The sequence below is a fragment of the Homo sapiens genome, chromosome 1 (genome assembly GCF_000001405.40).
Source record: "Homo sapiens chromosome 1, GRCh38.p14 Primary Assembly".
In the NCBI taxonomy this organism is placed as follows: domain Eukaryota; kingdom Metazoa; phylum Chordata; class Mammalia; order Primates; family Hominidae; genus Homo; species Homo sapiens.
The window spans coordinates 194,366,821-194,387,817 of NC_000001.11; the positions used below are offsets into that span (position 1 = coordinate 194,366,821).

Here is a 20,997-nt window from a genome sequence, read left to right on the forward strand (position 1 = left end):
ACTATGTTCATTCCAGAGGCTGCACCCACTCACTCATCTCTACCCTTTCCCATTTTATAACTTTGCATTGCTTATTTGCATTGAAAGGGACTGAAAAATCCCAAGTCATCATTCTTGCTAACCTCTAGATTCCTATTAGGCATAATCATCTTGCCTTTCAGGGCTTTAATAAATAAGAAGGTAACCAAATGTACAACATTATGACTCCTATTACTGCTGTCTACGCAGGTTTGCCCTGTCTTCCTCAAGCTTTCCTGTCATTGTGATATGGAGGATATAGTGGCAAAGAACTGAAAATATATAAAAGCAAGACTAACATTGTCATAAAGAGAATGAGAACAGCAGATAAACATCTGTGAACCAAAACCCAACCCCTAAAAAATAATCCACAGTATGCCAGGACTTTCTACTAGGAGAACCTGGGAAATTCTAGGCACCTAAAGGGTAGCCTAAGAGAAGACCGTGGTCCTTCATACCTTTTACCAGCAGCATTCCCCAAATACTTTACTGCCTATTCACCTCATAAAAGAAACTACAGCAAATATCATTTTCAGTTTAATTCCTCTAGACAACATTCACCACGCTTCTTGCAAAGTGTTTAGCTTTGATTCAATTTTCAGCTGCTCTGGATTCTTGACTCTGTGATGACCTTGAACTCAGAGGTTTTTAGGTCCTCTATCCAAGTTAAGTGTTTGAAATAATGGTTCGATAACATCAAGATACATTTTTAAGTTGATCTATCTGTTTTATCTTATAACAAAGCAAAATTTTTGACAACTTAGAGTATGAGAAACATCATAATGGCAATGATAACATTTTATGTGCCTGCAAATTGAGAATAATACTAAATTTCACAGAACATTTTGGCATAGATTTTCATCAAATGACATAACTTCATTTTTTCCTACAACTAATTAGGATGACAAATGAGATCTTTGTTTTGTAATGTAATTATCATAATCAGGAGGTGACAGAGTGGTAGTTTTTTGTTTGTTCTAGTCTCAAAACATTTCAAACTAATGTAAGTATAGCAGCACATGTGTCCAGAATGATTTGACATGCTCCCTAGCTTTAATGGGTGTGAAATCTATTTCAGTAAAATTTCATTTAGCATAGGTTCTGACAAACCATGATCTTTTTTCCCATGTGCATATGAAAAGTATGACTCCATTTTCTCTATTATGATTTATAAGAAGTAGAAATAGCACTTCAATTATTACTGCAACACTGATTCAGCATATCATTCCCATCAATGATGATTTGATTACAGCAGATACCTTGTAGTCACACACATAGGAAACTACATAAATATCTTCATCAGAAGAGAATGATATTCTGGTTAGGTCATTTCAGCTTTTTAAAATTCAAATAATGTTCCCCGAAAACATTATATAATAAGAACCTGAGTTAAAGACATTTTAAAATTAATTTTATTACTTCTGTGTTTTACTTTATTTTATTTTATTTTTTGAGACGGAGTCTCGCTCTGTCGCCCAGGCTGGAGTGTAGTGGCGCGATCTCAGCTCACCGCAACCTCCACCTCCCAGGTTCAAGCAATTCTCCTGCCTCAGCCTCCCAAATAGCTGGGACTACAGGCACGCGCCACCACACCCAGCTAATTTTTGTATTTTCAGTAGAGACGGGGTTTCACCATGTTGGCCAGGATGGTCTGGATCTCTTGACCTCGTGATCCACCCACCTCAGCCTCCCAAAGTCCTGGGATTACAGGCGTGAGCCACCACGCCCGGCCTAGGACAGGATACAATTTTACCAAGGTCTGTAAGTTAAAACTTAATGTAAAAATCAGTAATGTAAATTTAACCTTTTAAACTGAACAAGTAAGTGGCATTTCGTACAATAATAATATCGTACTGTTGTAGAACCACCTCTATCTAGTTCCAAAATGTGTTCATCACTCCAAAATAAAACCCTGTATTTATTATAAAGTCACTCCCTGTTTTCCCTTCCTCTATTACCTGGCAACTCCCAATCTGTGTTTTGTCTTTATGGATGTATCTATTCTGGATATTTTATGTAAACAGAATCATAGAAAATGTCATCTCTAATGTCTGGTTTGTTTCATTTAGCATAGTAATTTTAAGGGATATCCACATTTTAGTATGTATCACTGTCATTCCTTTTTATGGGTAAATAATGTTCTGTTGTGTGTATGTACCACAATTTGTTTATCCTTTCATCCATTCATGGACGTTTGTGTTGTTTCCACTTTTGTCAGTTTTCAATAGTGCTGCTATGAACATTCATATTCAAGATTCTGTTTGAATATCTGTTTTCAATTATTTTGTGTGTGTACCTAGTCATGGAATTGCTGGGAACATGGTAGTTTTTTGAGGAATCACCAAATTATTTTCCACAGAGGCTGACCTATTTTACATTCCCACTAACAATGATCAGCATTCCAATTTCTTCTCCACATTCCTGCCTAGACTTGTTAGTTTCCAGTGGGTGGGAAATGGTATTTCACTGTACTTTTGGTTTGCAGTTGCCTAATGACTAATGATGCAGAGCATCTTTTCATGAGTTCATTGAACATTTGCATATCTTTAAAGATGTGTCTGTCTAAGTCCTTACCTATTTTAAAATTGGCTTGTCATTTTGTTGTTGATAAGTGTCCTTTTTAGATTCTGAATACTAGACCACTCTCAGGTATATAATTTCCAATATTTTCTCACATTCGGTAGGTTGTCTTTTCATTTTGTTAATAATGTCCATTGATGCACTTTTTTATTTTGATGAATTCTAATCTATCGTTTTCCTTTGTTATTCATGCTTTTGATGCCCTTTGTAAGAATCCATTGTCAAAGCAAGATCACAAGGATTTTCTGTTTTCTTCTGAGAATTTTATCGTTTACACTTATATTTAGGTTGTTGATTAAATTTTAGTTGACTTTTTATATGTTGTGCAAGATAAGTGTCTTCTTCCAGTCTTTGCAGATTGGCCTTGTGCCAAGACACATCTCCAACACCTAACAGTGGTTACACTGAAACTAGAGGTCAGTCAGTAGTGAAAACTCAAGTCTTCTCAAGTCTTATCTGTGCATGTGACTTGTCCTAGGTATATGTGCTGTCTTTCTAAATTTCCCTATACACATAGCTGTATTTGATGGTCCAAATTCCTGGAAGGTATTTTATGCAGCTTTTGCTCCCAGAATTTAGGCAGTCTATCATACACTTTGACTGTATGTTTTGAAAACTTGAATAACAAAAAAGACTTTCTAGAAAAATATCAATTACTTTTAAAAATGACACTAAAAGAGATAGAAAATGTAGGCAAATAATTCTCATGCAAAATGTTGATTATTAATTCACCCAATTTAGCTATCTGAAGAATTATTTGCGGAAGGAATCACAGAAGAATATTATAAGTTAATTTAAACACAGATTGCATCAATTCTAAATTCCTAATTGCAGAATTTAATGGAAATAAGAAAGCCACGCCGGGCGCGGTAACTCATGTCTGTAATCCCAGCACTTTGGGAGGCTGAGGCCGGTGGATCACCTGAGGTCAGGAATTTGAGATCAGTCAGACCAACATGGTGAAACCTGGTGTCTACTAAAAATACAAAATTAGCTGGGGGTGGTGGCGCATGCCTATAATCCCAGCTGCTTGGGAAGCTGAGACTGGAGAATTGCTTAAACCCGGGAGGCAGAGGTTGCAGTGAACTGAGATTGTGCCATCGCACTGCAGCCTGGACTACAAGAGCAAAACTCAATCTCAAACAAAGAAAAGAAAAGAGAGGAGAGGGGAGGGGAGGGGAGGAGAGGGGAGGGGAGGGGAGGGGAGGAGAGGAGAGGGGAGGGAAGGGGAGGGGAGGGGAGGGGGAGAGGAAAGAGCCATAATAGATATGAAACCAACGCCACAATATTGATTCCCTAATTCAAGTAAGGAGTACAAAATAAGGGCAGCTGCATACCAACTCACTTTAGCTATCAATACAAAAATATAAGTTACATCACAGAAAATAGATTCATTCCGGTTATACTAAGCAAGGTTAATATAACAATAAGTAGCATTCAAACATATTTTATACTCATGTACATGACTGAATATATTAATAGGTCAAAAAAAAGGCTCTTTAACAAATACCAGAGAAACAGAAATAGCCTTTAATAAAGTTCAGCATCGACTACTTGCAAATACTTTTACAAAGAATACTAGATTTATATATGCATGTGTACTTATATATATACACAAACACAAACATACATATGTAAAAATTTATATATGTGTGAGTGCTTTTATATATCTATAATCAAATTATGTATATTATATATAATCAAACTAAAGGTTTTATTCAAATAATAAGCAATAAAATTCAACACAAATTACTTCCAAAACTTTAACTACAATAGTGTGACATGCACATATGTATGTACATAAAGTATATTTATATAAGATGCATATGTTATTATATAATCCTATCTATCCTCATGAAAAGTTATAACAAAATGGTAATAAATTTATTCCTTCTTGTTAAATTCATGCAATAGTAGAAACAGCTAAAATTTATGTCAGTTGGTTAAAAATTAATATGCAAAACTCAATAGGTTACTTATATACAATGATTAAAAAAGCTTAGAAATGTACTTAACAATAAATATGTAGATAGCCCCTTTATGAGAAAATTATTTAAATTTTACATCAATCATGTACATATGCAGACTCATACTGTCTTAAAATGGTTCAACATTGTGAAGATGCAAATTTGACACAAATTCACATATAGATTTAATACAATTGCAATAAAAATATGCACAAGTTTTTATCTGTTTTGTTTTGGTATCCCATAAGTTGTTTTTTAATTTCTAAGTAAACAACAATAAACAAGCAAAAATACTAGGAAAAAACCTTTAAAGAGAATAATTATAGAAAGAAGTAGCCTTGCCTTTATGAAAATATACTGTTAGACTACAGTAAAATAAAGTGATTAGTACTGGAATATAAAGACATTAACGAAGCAGGTTAGATAGCCTAAATATAGATAGAGATACATACAACAATTTATGGCATATGAATATGGCATATCTTTTCAGAGACAAATAATGTTTTGACAGATTAACATAATCTTGGAAAGAAGGGAAGGAAGGAAAAATAAAGAGAAAGAAAGAAAGAAAGAAAGAAAAAGAAAGAAAGAAAGAAAGAAAGAAAGAAAGAAAGAAAGAAAGAAAGAAAGCAAGGAAGGAAGGAAGGAAGGAAGAAAGAAAGAAAGAACCAGACCTAACAACGAAATAAATTCCAAATATACCAACATTTTAGTATATGCACAGAAAAATTGTGTGGGTCCTAGAAAATAGGTCCAACCTTAATTGTTATGCTTTTCTTTCTAAAATGTCATAATTACAATATATGTTAGGCAATATTTTGCAGAAAACTACAAAATTATTAGAGAAAATTTGATAACTAGAGTAAGTTTAACATGTCCACATAACAAGAGTTAAACAGAAAAAAGTCGAAGCCATAAAATAAATCAAAACATCATAATTCATGAGACAAACAATAACAGAAACATGAAACAAACAATGGGCATAATAAACACAAGGAAAAATATAAATGGGCTGTATATGTATAGAAGAAGCTTTAGCCTGGTTCATAATGAAAGAGATGCAGACCCAAATAACAATGGCAAATCATTGTTCAGCTATTACAGATGTTTTTGGTGTCCACAATAGAGTCCCTGTTCATAAAATCTTGGTGTGCATTTAAAAATTAGTGCAAATTATTTTTAATTTTTTTAACTTTTATATTAAGTTCATGGGCACATGTGTAGGTTTGTTACATAGGTAAACTTGTGTTATAGAGATTATTTTATTACGCAGGTATTAAGCCTAGTACCCATGATTTATTTTTGTTGCTTTTTCCTGATCCTCTTCCTCCTGCCACCCTCCACTCTCCCATAGGCCCCAGTGTGTGTTGTTTCCTTCTATGTTATCAAGTCAATTTAACGTCACTCAGCATTTAAAATTTCTTCCTATGTTATCAAGTCAATTTATTAACATCACTCAGCATTTAAAATACATGTATGCGTTTAACCAATTCCACTGCCACAGCCATGGGATATACTAGCAAAAGCATTGAAGACATGATGTTAATAGTTGCAAAATCCCTGAAATTATAGCCACTTACGTAGTAGAGAGAATAACTCAAATAAACAACTACATAGTTGTTAATAAGAATGAGATCTGTGGAAGATACTCAAGTGAGTTCCATATTACTAACAATATGAAACTTGGCTCATCTTCCAAAATAGTAAATGCTGTTGACTGTCTCACCTCACTTTCCCTTAAATTCCTTTTTAAAATTCAGGGAGAGAAAGACCGAGTGTGATTTTCTTGGACCACTCTTTAATTCACCAAAATAAGGAGGGAAAAGAAAGAAATTCACAGCAAATTAAAGTATTTCCTGCTGCTTCCCCAATGACAGTCTTAATTTTCTCATTCTCTTGAGAAAGAAAAACTCTAGTTTTATCACTGCCAGGTGTTTGGATTTTATTGGAAGTATCATTTGAACTAATTGTTTTCTCTCATTGAAATTTCTAGATGTGCCAGATTCAAACTTATCCAGACCCACAAAACAGGTGTTGAGATTTTGGAGTAACAGCAGGAACTTTCTTGGGCTCGTTAAAAGAGGGCCTTAATTACAATAGCTATTTACACTTATGGTCCCTCAAGAGTAGAACCTGTTCTCCCTTTTTTGGGAACTGATTGGTGTATTCCAGCATACTGCTTAGGAGACCAGGGCACAGTGAAATCTTCATTCAGATGAGTGCAAGTAAGGCTTATTTAAGTTGCCTATTGCCTTTAGTCATTCCATTAATAAATACAGAGGTAAAAAGTCTTCAAAACATGGAAGAAAACATACATCAGAGTAAGCCATCTTCTGGAAAAACATTCTTAAACTCATTTGTTTACAAGAAAAAAAGCAAAACTAGACAAGTAGGAGTTAATGATATCAATAGTAAAGGGCACATTGATGTTTTTTTCTAGCAAGTTGACAGTCAAAATATGGTGCCTGGAACAGGAACATTAAGATCACCTGGGAGCATTAAGAAACATAGAATCTCAGGCCCAAATCTGAATTATCTAAACCAGAATCTACATTTTATGAAGACCACCAGGTTATTCTATGCATCTTAAGGGCCAAGAAGGATATAGCGTTCATTCAGCTTTCATTATTACTTTACTTAAGACAAGTGAGGAAAGGATTTCTATATTAAAAAAAAAGCATGTTAGGACATTTGGTAGGATAAGAAAAAGTGACTGGGATGGGACAAAAACAGGGCTTGGAGATGTTTCCAATATTCAATTGATTGACTTGGGTGGTTCACACAGATGTTTTATTTGTGATAATCCACTAAAATATACATGTATGCCCAGTTAAAGTATTATTGTGTAGTTTGTACTAATTTAAAATGGTGGCATTGGAAGTTAAATAATAAATTTTAAAAGAAACAAAAAATTGTATGTTATACTATCAGAACCATAACAACTTTTATTGCTATGTTTTGATACCAGGTTGATAGGTGCAGCCAACACCATGGCACAAGTGTGCCTTTGTAACAAACCTGCATATTCAGCACATATATCACAGAACTTAAACTAAAATTTTTAAAAAATAGTTGGAAATTTAAAGTACAGTCTTGCATCACATAATGTTTTGGTCAATGACAGATCACATACAGACAATGGTCCCATGAGATTATGATGAAGCTAAAAAGTTTCTATCATCTAGTGATATTTTAACCAAGGCAACGTCCTAGTGCTAGGCATTACCTTTTCTGTATTTAGATACACAGATATCATTTTGTTACAGTTGCCTACGGTATTCAGTTACAGTAAAATGCTTTAACCACTTGAAGCCAAGAAGCAATAGGATATACCATATAGCCTATGTGTGTACTAGGCCACACCATTTAGGTTTGTGGAAAGAAACTCTATGATGTTTGCTGAGTGACAAAATCACCTAAAGACATATTTCTCCGAATGTGTCTTCGTTGTTAAGCAACGCATGACTGTATATGACGTGACATGTCACAATATCAGAAGGTAAGAAACACTATAGAACAGTAAGAATAGTAGAAAGAAGTGGTAGATGCTAGAAGTATTTTTCACGCCCTAGCAGAGCACCCAGAGAAAAACTTTCTAATCTCAGGACTATAGTATTTGTATTAAAAATATAGAGTTTTAAAATTTTAGAAAAAACACTTATTTTCCAAAGACATGTATTTTTCTCTTACGAAGAAAGGTCCTCCAAGACAATTAGCAAATCAGAATTTGGACCTCAGTCACAACAAATTACAACATTTATAAATGAAATGAATTAATATTTATGCCATATGGTAGTGCTTACATAAAAACCTAAAATGTCAGCGATATAGTATACAAAAATATTTTAAAATGTAGAAATATGTGCCAGCCTTATTAGGTATTAAGAAAAAAGAGAGCTGTTTTGAATCTTTTTCTTAGTAATAAAGTCATTTTGATTAAATAAAATATTGTTTGCTCCTCTGGTTAAGCATTTAGTAAGATCATAATATCCTAAAATTAATTTCTGCAGATTTTGAATGTTTTGTGTGCATAATGAACTCAGACAATTTTTTTCTTTTTTAGAAGAAACGTATAAATAAGTCAAGAGTATCAGCATTAAATACACTGTGAGGATAGCATTACTACCTGTGAGACAAAGGATGGTTTCTGAAATATCAATGTAACATTTAGGTTTTGAAAGAGGCAATGTTTCAAATGTTGATATGCTACCCATAAAGACAAGAGATATTCTATCCCAAGATTAATTTATACAGAACAGTTATGGGTTTGTGTCATCTGAGCTCAAAAATCTTAAAAAGGAATAAAAATCAAATAATTAAAATAGATTGTCTTACACTGTGTCTCAATTTTTTTAGGGAGGAATGTGTCATTATTCTGACACAAATAAAATTTATTTCCATTGCCTTCTTGACAAACATATATTTGCTCTGCCAAAGCCTTTTTTGTCTACAAAACTATTTTCATTACTAGTTTAAGTCATCAGCCTTAATAAATTTCAATTTTAGATATCTGTTTCATGTTAATCTTCTATATCTTAACTTTGAGAACTTCTATCAACAAGTTTTCCTGTAATTCTTTTAAATGATTAGTTTCACCATTATTTATTGCCATAAAAAATTAAATGGAAGGAGAATTAAATATATTAAATGAACTCTAGTATTTTTATGTGATTCTGAACTTAAAGTGAAATATTTGTCTTTAGTCATACAGCTAAGTAGCAAGGTTTGAATCAGAAAAATTATATGTCGATAACTTATTCACCCATTGGTTAAGTTGAGCCAAGTAAGGTATTACAATTTACTTAAGTCTCACTCTTTTTCAAACTGTCTGAGTAACTATAATTCTGGTGTTACGATGACAGTTGAATGTCATCAGACAATATGAATTTTTGACAAATCCAGAAGACAGCAAATAATCCATTATTTACAAATCATCTTCTCATTGTTGATCAGAAAGACATTGTTTCTTTAAATCAAATCTATCCAAAAACTCAATTCACATAAGCCCTCTGCATTTTACACAAAAATATACACCAAAAATAAAATAGTTAAGAGTAGATCTTAAGTGCTAATTCAATTAGGGAAACAACATCTACAGCTACTTTTATGACAGAAATTATTCCATGTACTAAAATGCTGAGAAAGGTAGGAAAATGCCCCTGACTTCAGGAGCTTACATTTTAATCAATGAATCAGCTATTTTTGCAGAAGAAAAAAAAAACAAAGTCAATGATATGAATGAACCTCACTAAAATAAAGTAAATGAATGTTCAGGCACCACATTCAGAATACACCGAATCCTAAGGGTAGGAGGGAACCCTGCATTAAGCAATGCCTTTTATTTATTATTGTTCTGGTTTAAGAGCCTATTACCAAGATAATCAAGTTAGGCTTAAAATGGGAGATTATTTTTGTTTAATTTTTTCTCTCTCTTTAAAAAAATAAATTTTATATTAAGCACCTCTACTGCTATCTTCTTAAAGGCTCTGTCAACTCCAAATATCCTGATTATGTATGTCTTATTAAATAGGGTCCTATTAATCAGAGAAGATAAAAAGATTTTACTGAAAGGGGAAGTACTACATTATTGATTAGTGTAAAAATCCTTCATTCTTAACAGAAAGTCGTCAACATAATTTAGAGACTATTTGGTGGAATATTCAGAGTTTGTCACATCACAAATTCAATTAAGTAGTGAAAGTTAATTTCTTAGAATGAGATTTTGAAAAGAACTGCCTCTTTATATTATGGAACACAATAAAAGAGTAACTCGGCTTTATCACCACAAAAATATTAAGATGTTTATGCCAATATCCATTTTGTTTGAGCATATTCATTTTGGAAGAAATAATGTATTCACTGGCCTGAACAGTATTTTTTTGTTCTAAATGAATTTTGTAAAAGGAACATGTCTAAGGGTATTGGGGAATATGAATTTCTTCTTGTAAAAATTTAAATACAATTAAACTACTAATAAATGATTTGAGCTATGATTTTAAACTTTTGTAAACATTTAATTATTAACTACAATATATTAGTGAAGAATTAATGACTGCAGCTCTGTCAGTCCTAATGTATAGAATACTAATATAGAGGGCTGAATATTTTATATGACTATGAACACTACTGTGTAATGAATACAGAACACAGAGACACACATATGCACACTAGAACCACACACATATATATACACATACACTGCACACATTTTCCAATCTTCAAATACCAAATGTCACTGAACCAACACAAATCCCAGGGGAACATGAAATAAGATGAACAGCTTAGGTAACAGGTGTTTCCTTGAAATATCCTATTTAAATTTCTGAACCTGGTAATTCCTTTACAATCATTCATTTGGTCTCCTGGAATTATAATTTCCAAATGTTTTAGAGCTTTGCATAAATCTCATACTTCACAGCGCTTTTTTTTTTTTTTTTTTTAAGGACCCAGCTGGTTGGTTACATACAGGGACTCTTTTTTCCCAACTACTTGCTGTGGAACTCTTTATATTGGCTACTGCTTGTAATTGTCCTGTAGGATTCCAGATCATACAGCTTATTTAATTAAAAAAAAAGATTTAAAGTGGTTAAGATGTGTGTTTGTGTTTTATAAAAGGGAAATAGCACAAACATTGTACAAAAAAATCCCTGTATAATTCTGCACCAAGGCTTAAAAGCAACTCAATTCTACCTCAGTTTTCTTCCTCCTTCTTTTTCCTTTTTCTTACTCTCTTCCTGTTCTTCTTCATCTTCTTCATCCTCTTCATCTTGGTTTTCTTATTCTTTTTCTGACTGTAGTAAAATAATCCAATAAAATGCTTCAAAATAAAAGGAAATTGTGTAGACTGGCTCACTAGAACGATCTTTCAGTTCTGCTGGGGCTAGAAAAACATGGTATTTCTAAAGCCAGTAAGTGTAAAATCATAACATTTGAACAATGAAAATAAGCAAAAAAAAAAAAAAAAATCAGTCTGCTGTACGGATTTACTTTCCCATTTTCCAAACATGTATTTGTTTTGTATAGATATATCTCTTACCAGAGTGAATATAGACAAGAATATAGACAAGAATATCAATATTCAGCATAAGAGAGAACATAATAATATATCCATAACCAGGAAAATGTGGTAATTATCTATTGCTTATAAAAAAAATCTCAAAACTTAGTGACTAACAACAGTTATTTTTCCACATATTTTGGGTCAGGAATTCTGGAGTAGCTTTAGTTGGTGGTTCTAGCTAAGAGTCTCACTGTAACTCTAATCAAGGTGTCAGCCAGGGTTGCAGTCAGTTCATGAGTCAACTGAGAGAGAATCCACTATGAAGCTTGTTTACATTCAGATCTCAAGCTCTTTCTGGTTGCTGATTGGAAACACTAGTTCCTGTTCACACTGACCTCTCCACTAGGCTGCTTGCAAGATAGTAGCTTGCTTGTCCCAGAACTATTGATCCAAGATGGAAACACACAGCCTCCCCAAGTTGAATAACCTTGCTGTTTTTGCCACCTAATTTATAAACAATTGTGCTATCTCTTCTATAATACTCTATTCATTATGAGCCAGTACGTCCAACTGGAATACCAGAAGGCTGGGGTAATTACAAGAACGACTTAAGAGGAGCATAATACAAAACAAAAAGAAAGATAGCAGTCGTTATAACGTATTGGGGTTTTTCAATTGTATTATTCAGAGTTTTTCCAGAAACAGCACCAATAAGATAGATAGATGATGATAGATAGATAGATAGACAGATAAATAGATGATAGATCAATAAATGGATGGATAGACAGATAAATGAATGGATAGATTGATGATAGATAATAGAGACATAAATATAGGGATATCTAAATAAGAAGTTTTATTATGAGGGATTGGCTCATGCAATTATAGAGGATGAGAAGTCTTATGATCTACCATCTGCAAGCTGGGGTCCCAGGAGAGTCAGTGGTGTATTGCCAATCTAAGTCCAATATCGTGAGAACCAAGGTACCCAGTAAGTCACGGTTCAATTTGAAGCCTGAAGGCCTGAGGAACAAGAGCACTGATGAACAAAAGTAGAAGAGAATAAATGTTCCATCTCAAGAAAAGAGAGCTTCTTCCTCTAACTTTTGGTTCTGTTCTGACCCTCAATACATTGGGTGGTGCCTATCCACAAGGAGAGGGTGCTCTTCTTTACTCAGTCTACTGATTAAAATGCTAATTTCTTCTGGAGATATCCTCATGGACACATAAAAATAATGTTGTACCACATATTATCCCAGTCAAGTGGCACCTAAAATTAACCATTCCAACCATGCTCTATAAATTTTTCAGGTGCTTTATGTGTATTAATCCATTTAATTCTCCCAATAAACTTTGTATCTGTGATTATGTAGCCTCTTTTTACAATGAGAAAAGTTAAAACGACTATAAAACCAAATAAATTATATAAAACAGCAATAAAAAAATAAGCAATACAGGGAAACTTTCGGGGAACAGGAAGTTAGTTACACATTGACTTTGGACTTTTCAAAAGAATATAATCCAAATCCTTTCACAAGAAAATAGAACAAAAGAAGTGGAGAAAGTATATTGCTTTGCCAAGGAGAAAATTGTCAGGTTTAAGGCTGGTTGTGAGAGGCAAAACCAAAAAGGAAGACACTGCAGAGAAGGAGCCCCAAAATCTAAGTAAACATTTCTATAAGTTATTGGCTAATTTCTTAACTATGCAACCCTGAAGGGTGAGACTACAAGAAACTCAAGAAGAAAAACGAGAGCTATTATCCTTCATATAAAAAGAGAATTTCTATTATAAGAAAATATCATCTTCTACAGCAACTGCAATTTTTCATGTTCAGAAAAAAAACCAAATGACTTAAGACCAATAGAAAAAGGAGGCATTAGAAACAAATTCACAGATAGTTCATATTTTAAATCTATAGATAGTTCATATTTTAAATCTATTTGGCAGGGACATTAAAATATTGTTATTTATATACATAAACATAAATTGTATATAAATTAATAAAGTATATACAATGTAATGTACTTAAAATATTAAGATTATTATTTTAATATAAACATGATTATTCAAATAATGGCAAGATGGAAAATCAAAAAAACAAAGAACAGAAGAAACATAGAAATCAAATAACAAAATTAAATTTAATAAGTCTATATTTATAATCATTTTAAATGAAAATAGCGTAACACAGAAATTAAAAGCAAATGAGCAAAAAATATATAAAATGTGATTGTATACTAAAAAGACACCTTTGACTATTTGAAGGTAAGAATTATTAGAATCAAAAAGTAATAATTATAAATTAATGTGAGGAATAATAAAATAAATATATTTCATATATTAAGAGGACCAATAAAATAAAATAATACAATAAAAGAAATAATAAAGTAATTGAATAATCAATTCAAGAGGAACAAATGTATAATCTCAAGCATGTATGCAACTAGTAACATAGCTGCAATATAAGTTAAGAAAATCCCACACAATGAAAGGGAGAAATACACCCACTGTCAATAATCTAGAAGGTTTTTAACACCTTTATCCTGCCTTACAGAACAAACAAACAACCAAAACAAAATCAGTAAGATACTACAATAATTAACCATATTTGGATACTGAGTTAAATTGTGTATATAAAATACTACACCAAAAGACCACAGAGTGCATATTTACTAAAGGAATTTCAAAATACAGATAGAAGTCTTAACAACAGACTAGATCAAGAAGAGGGAAAAATTTTCAGAGCTCAAAGACTTTGAACCAACCCAGTCAGAAAAAAAGAAAAAAAGAATTTAAAACAATAAACAAACACTCTAAGAAATATGGTTATGTATGGTGACCAAACCTATGATTCATTGACATTCCTGAGAGACAAGAAGAGAGAATAAGTAACTTGGAAAACATGTTTGAGGAGATATCCATGAGAATTTCCCCTATGACACTAGAGAGGTCAACATACAAACACGAATGCGTTCTTCAGAAGCCCCATCTTACATTTAATGGCACCAGTAGGCTCAATGTAAAGTGATGGAGAAAAATCTATCAAGCGAACAGAAAACAAAAAAGAGTGGAGGTCATTATTCTTACATTAGATGAAGCAGACTTTAAGCCAACAGTAGTTTAAAAATGACAAAGAATGTCATTACATAATGATAAAGGGTTCAATTCAATGAGAAGACTCAACTATCCCAGATATATATTCACCCAACATTGCAATACCCACTTTCATGCAACGAGAATTTCTAGATCTACAAAAAGACTGACACACCCACATAATAAGAATGGAGGACTTCAACACCTCACTGATAGCCTTAGATAGATTATTGAGGCAGAAAACTAACAAAAAAATATTGGATTTAAATTCAGACTTGACCTATGGGACCTAAATTCTTTCTGCACTGCTTTGCTTCAGACACATATATTTTCTACATTTTTTATACTTAAAATATATCTGGGAAACCACTGCCTCTCAGTATACAGAATATAGAAATCTTCCTTATTTCTCATTCAGCTGCTTGGAGCTCTACTAATTGTATGTGCCACAGTATATTTATCGTTAGTTTTTAAAAACCACAATACTAAATACCTTGTTAAGTCCTGATCAATTTGGTCTGGACATCCTAACTTTTCCATTTTACACCGCACAACAAATTCATACTTGTATAACACATTTGGCTAAATTGAAGCGAGTTTTGAAGTGTATTTATGGGCTTATTTTTATTTTTTATTTTTATTTTTTATTTATTTATTTATTTATTTTGAGACGGAGTCTCGCTGTCGCCCAGGTTGGAGTGCAGTGGCGCGATCTCGGCTCACTACAGGCTCCGCCCCCCGGGGTTCACGCCATTCTCCTGCCTCAGCCTCCCGAGTAGCTGGGACTACAGGTGCCCGCCACCTCGCCCGGCTAATTTTTTGTATTTTTAGTAGAGACGGGGTTTCACCGTGTTAGCCAGGATGGTCTCGATCTCCTGACCTCGTGATCCGCCCGCCTCGGCCTTCCAAAGTGCTGGGATTACAGACGTGAGCCACCGCGCCCAGCCTTATGGGCTTATTTTTAAAACTTGAATTCACCTTACACAAAGTAATTACATAGAATAAAAACAAATTAATGACAATGTATTACATGTTAAATGTGTTGAAAATAGTTTATACAAAATTTTAATAAAATACTTAACAATAATTTATATAGACTTTTGTAGTTAAAATGGCCACCTAAAATTCTTGATCAAAATATTAAATAGTGCTCTCTAAAATTCTTGATGTTCAGTTATCAATAAGAAATTTTATTTATGCAGATGTGTAAGAGCAAATTCCAAAGGAGATTTTACTGATTTTTCTCCTTTCTCACCATTTAACAAAATAGTTTCTCACAATTTAACAAAATTTGAAGTTTTTAATTTTTATTATATTTTATGTATGATTATTATTTTATCAACTCTTTTGTTTCTTCAGTAAATATTGAAAATACATATAATAATGTCAGTGATTTTTAAATCATACAGAACCTTTTCACACCAGGCATTTTGGAAAAATAATCGACATTTTTTTAAGCATACACAGATGCAGTTTTCCCAGTCATAAAAAAATTAATCTTTGGAATTCAGATTATACAAGAAAAAATATCACTAGAAATCTCTTTAAACATAATGCTTCCAAAATTGTTATTTTGTGTTTGAATCAGGGCTTAGAAAACTTTGTCACTAAAAATCTAGATAGGAAATACTTTAGGCCTTTTGGGCCAAGAGACAAAATTTAGGATATTATATAGCTACTTATAGAAAAAGAAAAAATCCACAACTTTCATTTTTAAAATTCAAGATATATTGATAATAATTGAGTACTTTTTTACTCAATGCGGATCTACCAATGAGGATAAAATTGTTTTTGAAGGAAAGAAAGCATTTTGCTTAATTGTGTTCAAAGTTAGCACATACTCTTACCAAAATTAATTGCAAATGATTATTTGCTAATGCTGTTTTATAAAAAAACTTCCCATATTTCACATTTTTAAAGGTTTTCTATGAAATAACTGCTGCCAAATGTCAATATGAGTCCTTAAGCATATAATTTGTGTTGAGTATATTAATCATTTAAAAGGCATTTGTAGAGCTCATATTATTCAATTGATATTAGCCTTTAGCATGTCAGTTTATTGCATATTTCTTACTTTCAACTGACGTTTATCTGGAAGTCCCTTAAATGCACAGTTCATTTCATTTTGAAATATGGCACTTTCATTTGTGTTTGCATTGTGTTACACAAAATAATGCTGGAATTGTAATTCAAGTTCACAAAATATAACTGCTGCTAATTTGTATGGGAAGAGAGATCTTGCTTCTACTTTTAACTTCTGATGTATCTGAAGTCTATAAATTAGCTTGATATAGTTTGTGATTCAAACTACACAAAATGACTTTGTCAGAGACTATGTTACTAATAGAAGTATTATTGTAGTTTTAGGTTGAATTCATTAAAAATAAGATGAAGTCTGTAGCAAAAACATTTCCAGAGACATTCAGTGATATATAATAGTAATTGAAGGTGATATTCTCATTCAGAAAATTTTAATATTGGCTCTTAATTTTAAAAATTACAATAAAATTTGATACTGCTAAGTATGACTATCTTTTATTATTACTATATATTACTTATGTATTATACTGCTAAGTATTACTAAATATTACTACTACCACATTGAATTATTATGTAGTAGAGAAACATCAAGATTTTCAGCTTTGATTTCTGATATAAATACATGAAACAGAAGATCATTAAGTCTACAATAGGGAAAGAAGTTCACTGTTGACACGGTTTGATAATATATGATACATTCAAATATTCTATAAAGTATCTCCTGATAAATAATATAACGAAAACCTATAACTGTAAAATTTATAATTTTATTAGAGTTGTAAACATTTTCAACTAAGCCATTTTCCATTCTACACATATGTTTACCATCAACAATTCTAACACATTTTTGCAAATTCCCCTTCAGGTTGTCCTGAATTTGTATTTTTTTCAGCTTTTCTTGTAGGGTTGATACTCTGAGCCGTGGAACCTGAGAGTGGAAAAGAAGCTTTTCTGTAATAAAAGTTAGGAATATAGTAGAAGCATGAAAAGAACCAGAGAAAAGAGGGAATAGTGCCCTGTTTGCATATGATTCCCTATATCTAACTGGGTTCTGCCCCTGCGTCTGTGAATTCATTCTCTGCTTTCTCAATATATTACAGCTTTATTCGTCTCTGTGGTTTGTAAATAGAGTCTTAGCTAACCTTACTTAAGACCGTAATACCACTCAATATCTTACTTTAGAAAAAATCTAAACTACATCTTAAAATTTAAAAGGACAAAGGACATGCCCTGACAGAAAAGTGAGAAGAAGATGTTAGACACAAGAAGACAAATACCAAAAAGGAGAAAGAAAAAATCATAAAATGGAAACCAATAGAATATATCCATGGAAAAGTAACTTTTCCGGAGGGGGAGAGAAATTTGAGTAAAATTATAGGGTAAATAGTCAAGTCTCCCAATAAATAATGAAAATTTCAAGTATTGGCAAAAGAGCCCATCTCCACATGTATAATTGAATTTGGAATATGGGTAGTTTTGGGGACTTTTTCTTTTAACATTTTTCCTGCACAGATGAATTCTTATGTGAATGATTGTGAGTAGTAAAATAGTATTAATTTAGACACACTGAAAAAACTCATTAAAATTAAAAATTAATTAGTAATTAAAGTTTAATTTAAATAATGAAGGTGAAGAAAACAGTAGATACATAGGTAGGTGAGCCCCAAAGTCTGTTCATCCAGAGTCTGCAATCCACAATGTTGGTTTTATTGCCATGAGATAATAAGACAAGTGCTGGAAATCACATGCAATGCATCTACAGGTCTCCCTTGGGAGTGAGGGAAACATTTACCAAAGCTCCACAGAAGATTCTCCTTCAAGTATCCTCACTCAGATTTGAGTGACATCACAGTTCCTAAGTAAGTCAGTAGCAAGGGTGATAGAATTATTATGCTTGGTCTAGACTAATGATCTAAAATATAGTAGATGCAGGTGTGGTTTTGTAACGGCACACACACACACAATGAACATTAAGAAACCTTTCAATATTGCCTTTTTATTAATTATTATACCGGCTTTGTTTTCCTTCTAAATACTATGTTTCAAAATGTTGTAAATGGCTAACATTCTGTCAGGTGTGTATAACATAATTCAGTTAATCATTTTATATAAAACACTTTTATGGTTTTAATATTTTGTAATTATAAATAATAAAGTAAGAAATAAACATATATACTTTTCCTCCTCCTTTAAATATTTCATCATGGTCTTATAAGTGAAAATATGAATTATTTAAAATCTACCAGATTTTGCTCAAGAGACACCCTTCTACTTAAATGCCCAGAAATAAATAAGAAATAATTAATCTCTCCAGAGCTGAGGAAAATACAGTCTTTTAATGCTTCTAACAATTTTATATGCAAAAAAAAATTAGAGTGTATTGCTAACATTGCACTTTTTGTTTTTGTTTAGTTCTATACATTTCTTTCATAAGCCAACTGTTTATTTCCATTGCCAATTTTTATAATCTATTCGTAATAAAGCTTGTATTATATATTTCTGGGTTTTCTTTATATTTTAATTATGTTTACTTTGATGTCACAATTGGTAAAATATTTTATATTTATTTAGTTTCTTCAAATACTGCTGTATTTGAATACAGGTGTATTTCCAACACCATTTTTTAAATTTTAGAAACATATTGTTAGGAACACATTCTTCGTTTTATCTATATACTTAGGAATTATAGAGTCTTTTAGATATTGTAGAGTGTATCGCAAAGCAAATTATCCTGATTCATTTCTCTGACAGTTCAGTGTTAATATCATCATTTTACCTGGTGAAAATCCATCATACATTGTGAAATATTTTCTGGCAAATACCTCTGTCAACTAAGCAGTAATAAAATAATAAAACCACTGGGTATGATTTTCATTAGATTTCTCTTGCCAATGAGCATGAAAGTATGAAGTGGTTTGTGAAACTATACTCACTGATCTTGGGGAATAATTACTAAGTAGAGAAAAGAATTAGTAACTATCTTTCATTGAAATTCTCTTCTCTTTCTGGCCCTTTACTGGGCTTTCTATATGCATTAACTAATTCTCAAAACAATCTGACATTATTGTTTTTATTATTCTCATTTCAAAAGATAAAATTGGTTCTGTGTTTAAGAGACTTACATAATCACAAAAGCTAATTGCGAAGATGAAACCAAAATCCACACCATTAAACCTTTGAACATATGCTTGTTCACGGTAAGCCAGTTATGCTGCATAGCAGTCCTCCAATGTCATAGGCATATTTGGGAGAGAGTGAGGGTGCCACAGGGACCACAGCTGGCTTAGACCTCTGGATCTCAGTAGAATTTGGGGTCAGTGGGACCATCTCTCCTCAGGTCTTTGTTCTCATTCAAAAGTGGGAGTTAGCTGGTTATCTAACCCTTGGCTAACTACACTTTCTAATCTGGCTTATGGGGCATAGTGTGAAATTTAAAAAGTATACAAGAGGGAAGTTGTACTGTGATACACTCTTTAAGTAGATTATTGCAACTTCTTTCATTTGCTAACCAGCTAACTTAGAGAGATGTTTGTTATTCAGCAGTAAACCAAGACTTGATAAAAACCAGCAAGAAAACCTCAAACCTTTACCTGTCCCATCCATACCAATGTCAGATATTACTGTCTTCGATCATATTTTGTTATCAAATGGTAGTAGAAATACAAAGCTATGCCCGATCACCTGGCTTGGATCTACTTACTATATGGCCTAGACTGTGTCAGATAAATCTGTTATATGCTTGTTTCTTGTGTAAAACAATGGATAGCAAGTTCTAACCCACAAACATAATAATCAGGTAAATGTTCTTTTTGTTCCAAATTATCCATAACCCCTCTTCCTTCTCTGTCAGTGAAGTTTGCATTACCTTTCAGGCTGGCATCTTCCTCTTGCTGTAATGCTCAATGGTTTTATTCTCCCACAGACTATCTGGTGTTTCATTCTAACTGCCTAGATCTGCCTATTAGCTCTACCAAGGAAATGAGGCTGAGGTCTTTGATCCTTTAATAAACTATGTCTTGTCACTTTATACACTTAGGTCTGTGTATTATTTTCCAAGTGTTCAAGTTCAATTAAATTTTTTCAGTTGCAGGTTACAAAAAAACCTAAATCAAGTATCCTTCAACCACAGATATGATTGGTAGAAGTTAAATAATGCTGAAAAACTAGTACTGGTGTTATTTATGCACACAGTTTGAAAAGATAGGCATGACATCATCTGATCTCAGGCTTTATTCCTGGTTTTCTGGTTTTCTTGGGTTTCTCCTCCTTCCTCCTCCAGCTAGTTCCCTTTATATCCA

General features: G+C 32.6%; 1 annotated feature.

Annotated features, from left to right (window-relative positions):
• Window positions 20,286-20,486: a silencer, noted in NCBI's record as "peak616 fragment used in MPRA reporter construct". NCBI's record gives its function as "represses an SCP1 promoter by STARR-seq MPRAs in K562 erythroleukemia cells {active_cell/tissue: K562}" and the evidence as "EXISTENCE:reporter gene assay evidence [ECO:0000049][PMID:32103011]".